Here is a 5,521-nt window from a genome sequence, read left to right as displayed (position 1 = left end):
TGGGATGGAAGTTGCCTGTCACATTCACTCAGACAGGCACACATCTCCCAGAAAGTCCTTGCATAGATGGACTGCAGCAGGAGGTGCTGAAGCTGAGACTGAGCCCCCTCGAAATCTGTAGAACAGAGACTGGAGAGTACAGTTCCAGTGTCTCAGAAGCTATGCAGCTCCCAAGAGAACTCTGTACATATGGGATAATTTCCCAACTGCAGCTGGAGGAGCTGGAGCCAATACTGAGCTCTCTTGGGATCTTCTATGGGGCTGAGGCTGGAGAGCCTGGTCCTATTAAATTAGAGAGCCATGTATCCCTCAACAAGTCTCTGCAAAATTGACATAGTTCTCCTGTTGCCACATAGGGGTGCGAGGCAGTGGCTGGAGCTGAGATGGGGCTTTTTGGAGTCCAATGTGGGGCAGAGGCTGTAGAGCCCAGTCTTTTTGGCTCACAGGGGTGCACATCTCCCAGCAAGTGCCTGCGCAGATGGTATAGTTTCCTCACTGCAGTGAGAAAGGCTACAGTTGAGATTGTGTCCTCATGGGATATGCTCTGTGACAGAGCTTGGTGAGCCCATCAGGGAGGCCCAGACTGCAACATATGGCTGATTCTCTCTCTGTATCCTTGTATAAGCCACTCTTAGCTGGGATCTCAGCTCAAGAAGGCTGAAGCAGAGCCACAGGGCCACTTTCAGGTGCTACTGGTGTCAGTGGACAGATGACCCTTTCCTTCAAGGTACTAGTGTGCATGATTCCTTCTAGACTGCTTGGCAAATGGTTTTGCTTGCAGGCTGAAAGCCAAATGGGACTGTACCCAAGCCCCTTGAAAGGCTAGGCCATTTCCATGCTTGAATCCAGGAGCGACCTTGGTGGATCAGCCACCTGGGTGTCAGTTTGCCCTCAAAACAACCCTCCAAGGTCTTGTGTTCTGCTGGAGTTCACAAACTCCTACCTGAATCCTGAAGCTCCTGAAGAAAGATTTTTAACTATTGATGAGTGCAGAATTGTTGCTGTTTTGGGGGAAAATGAGCAGGCTGTCTTCTATTTCACCATCTTAATTATGTCACTCCCCTTATAGTATATTTTTAAATTTTTTTGATAGATCTTGTTTGTTCTCATGTTATTCAAAGAATATTTATGGCTTTTTTACAGTAAAATTTTATAAAAACTTAATGATAACTATTATGTTCCTCCCCCCAAAAAAGGTTATTTAATGTGATGCATCATTAAATCGAAACATATGTCTGCACAGGGCTTTCAAAAAATGTAACACTGACGTTCCATGTGGGAAAACATGAGCATTAAAGTCAGTTAAGATAATATGTTGCTGTTTTTCTAAATGATAAACTTCTATAAAGATTCTATATAAATAGTTATTTAGTAGGGATACTGTTTGCTTACTAAGTATTAAATAGCATAAAACAGAATTTATTATCTTAAAGTATTTTATCATAAAAATTCAAAATTTAGTAAAACAATTTTAAAAAGAAGAAAAGAAGGATGGAAAAGGTCAGTGGAAAAAGTCAACTTAAATGTAGCAAAATGAGAACCCCTGATTAATCTAACTTTCTGTTTCATTGAATTAAATTTATGTTGAGTCTTTATTTTTATGTATTTATTTATTTTTGTAGTGGTGAGAACACATTACTTGAGACCCACACATTTGTACTCATTTAAATAATCTTATTAATGCTAACAATAGCGAGAACTTTAGGCAACAGAAAACCTGACCGTATTAATATCAGAACAACTTGCAATTGGAAGTAGATGAAAAGGCTCTGGACTTTCCCCAGAAGACCTTGGACTTTTCTGCTACTATGTTGGTGACCAGATTAAGTGAGACAATTCAAAAATGCAATGACAAGCTATATCACCCACACTGACATGACCAGAGTTAGTGGAAGAAGTGGTGGGTAATTGGTTACCAGAATTCTCAAGGTCAATGATTCAAGACAAACTTTAAAAAATGATAATTAAAATATTCTACTTTTTGACCTTACTCTTTGTGGTCCAAACTTCTTATCAAGTTCTTCCATATTTATATTTTTCTTCATTACAAGATAATTGCTTCAGTTTGAGTATTGTTCCAATTTTGAGTGAGGTAGATGCAATCTCACCAAAAGTACTCACCAAAACTTTGTATTGGTACTTGTGGTACCATCGTTGTGCCATTTATAAGAATATAAAACATTGCACATTGCCATCAGAGTTCACCTAAATTTGTCTCAATTTCTATAGTCTCTTTCATTTTCTCTCACATCTCCTTTCTCTCAGTGTTTCTCTTACTCTCATGAAAATCTGGCTAACTTATTTTTGATAACCTAGTTTTTGTCTTTCTTTTTTCCTAAATAAATATACTTCCCTTCTAAATCCCCTTTAATTTTTACACTTTATTCAAGATCCAGAAATGCAACAGTTAAGTTTAATCTGATAATGCCCCTAACATGTAATTATAAAGTCTCTATATTTCTAAACATAATTTATTGATCTATCTTATCATTAATTATCTTGTGGTTTCTAGGTCTATTTTTTAATAACTGTAAAGTCTGCTATTTTCCAGGAGTAATTAAATAAATATATCAATGTATTTTAGTAATTCAAAAGTGCTACATTAAATTCATGGTGCAATATCTCTAGTTCAGAAATCTAAAGGTGTATGATGCATTAAAAACGCAATACTTCAAAGACATAGAGCATATTTATTGTATTTATATCCAAATCAATCATTTTATAGTCACTTCCTTCTTGCCTGTTGCATTCTTAAAGCAAATACAGTTTAATGTAATTTAAGGTACTTCTATTCTGATTAACCAAGTTTTTCTCTAAAATAATAGGGATTCTTTTAAAAGAGGGCATATCATAGAGTTTTACAACACAGTCTTTGGAGTGAGTGTTCCATCTATTTAAATTTCTAGTCTGCCGTTTACAAGTAATGTAATCTTAGGCAAGTTAATTATGATTTAAATCTACTTACTTGGTTTTAATAAGGCTTTCTTATGACTCCTCTGGGTTGTTGTACGAATTAAACTCTTGGGGATGAAGTGAGATAAGTCTGATTCCACAGATTACTCTGAACGAACATTTTCTGCTCTCTCATTTTAAACAATCTCAATTCCAATAAAAGTACTAGTATGGGCTTGAGCCAAAATAGCCAATACTCATGTCAAAAATAGTTATCAAGTAAAATAATAAAATAAAAATAAAAGGAAGGCATTTGCAAAAAAGAATAAAAGCTAGGGTTTAAAGTCAGTCAGTGCTAGACTACAAAACATAAAGACTTCACTACTTACAATTTCTTGGCTATTCTCCGCAAGTTATTTGATCTCCCTAACTCCTTTTCTTTTTTCTAATTAAATTAACGTCATTTTTATAGGGCCGTAATGCAGATTAAATAAAATAAGCCATATATAAAATATAGCACAGTTCTAATTAAACAGTCAATAAATAATACCTTATATTAAAATTCTCAATGTTGTCATCATCATTAAAAGTGTCTATTTTGAGAGCACAATTACACTTTTTTATTATCTGAAATGGGTCCATATAATTTTACAGGGTGTTGTTAATATGAAGGTTTACATTTAAAATAATCTGTGAAGAGAGAAATACATTTCAAACAAATAAATATACTATACAATTTAACCACTAGATTATCAGCATCCATTACATTACTTAAAGATTACCACAGTCTTCAAATTGAGAATTAGATTATCAATGTATATAATCTCTTTATTAAAATATTCTAGACTTTTTATGTACTTTGATAATTCTTAAAGATAAAATTTTTTGTCTAGTATAACAGTTATTTATTATAGTGACTGATCCACCACAGTCACACAATAATGTTTATACACTGAATCAATTGAGTGTAAATGTGTTTTAAATCATTGAAGAAACTTTTTTAAAAAATTGTTATTCTGTATCATTTATCAGGTGTGTCAAGTATGTTCTTTTTTGTCTCAGAGAAAGTAATGTCCTCCTCTCCAACCTGGCAACAGAGCGAGACTCCGTCTAAAAAAAAAAAAAAAAAAAAAAAAAGTAATATCCTCCTTATTCTTCCAGAAGACCATTATCCTTTAATAAATAATTTTATTTAAAATTTTAATTTGCCCCCTACATTTATTATATTCCCATACATCACCATTTTACTCTTCACTACCAATTACCTTTCCTTTTGGGAGACTTAAGCTATGCAAATATGTATTTTGTTTGCTTTTAATGTAATCTCTGGAATTCACATTTTTTCACAGTGCAAAATTAAACTACATTTATTAAATAATAATAAATGATTTCTTACTGTGGGCGCTTACAATGGGTAAATAGCAAGATATTTTTAAAATGTCTTGATAGTAAAAGATAGAAGGAAGAATGAGTACCACCCTTATGAAGAAAAGAAGGGAAGTCATTCAGAATAGACAGAAATAGAATCTGAGGGAAGTATTTTGAGTAATGAAATGACACAAAGACAAACAAAAAAATAGAGTTTAAGAAGATTCCTCGAGTCCCAAAAATTATTTTAAATCTCCACAATGGAGAGAGAAATTTTAAATAGACAAAAAAAAAAAAGAACAAATATCTATCGGAAGGCAGTAAGCATATGTCCGTTTTTTCCCAAATGTTTGCCAACTGAAACTTAAAGTAGCCTAATGAAGTCTATTGTGGGGAGAGAATCTAAAAATCAACCTTCATCATAGATAAGTGAGTAGTCACTATGGTCAAGGGGGAAATATCATAGAAAGGAAGAAACAATGATCTATGTTAGTTAAATTCTGAGTTCAGCTCAGTTAAAGCAGTATGTAAGAAACATTTTTTTTTAGGTCCAGCAGCAGCTGTGTCAGAATAGAAACAGATGAGAGACTTAGATATAGATTAGGAACAGTTAGAGGAATTAGTGTGATTAAAAGCTTTTATACCTAATATGCCTAGATGCACAAAATGTTCTGAAACTTCAGCATCAAAGAAAAGCTGGCATAGAGGAAAAGCAGGGAAATGCATGCAGCTCAGCACTGTGAGGGCATTTAGAGAGTAATATTTATCTTATTTCTGGAAGAACATCAGGGCAAAAATGAGTTAATCAGTATGATAAGAGGGGATTAAGACAACAAATACGTTATTGTATTATGTCCTTTGCCTTAATGATCCGTCTGCTTTCTGTTTTCAGGGGCTAAACACATGTAATACAGACAATTAGTTATTTAGATCATTGACTGCTGTTTGTTTAATATAATTTACTTAAAATTTAAGTTAACCTCTGTTTCTGTGTTTTTCAAAAACTAAAGGATGGAGAGAGTAGAACTTCAATTTTCTAAACCATCTCATAGCTCACTATAGCATGCAAATAGAAGATAAATAAGTAGTATCAAAGGTATTATGTTGTTGCATTTTAGTCACATTTGAATTGTCGAAAGCACCAATAACAGAAGAAAAAAATTGAAGATAGTGAACAATAAGCCAATAGGAGAGAGTGATTTTGATTATATTCTTCTACCTCATCACTGCTCCTCTTCCTCCTCCTCTTCCTTCTCTTTTT

The sequence above is a fragment of the Homo sapiens genome, chromosome 5 (genome assembly GCF_000001405.40).
Source record: "Homo sapiens chromosome 5, GRCh38.p14 Primary Assembly".
NCBI lineage: Eukaryota > Metazoa > Chordata > Mammalia > Primates > Hominidae > Homo > Homo sapiens.
The sequence above is the reverse complement of the archived record's forward strand: the minus strand, read 5'-3'. Positions refer to the sequence as shown.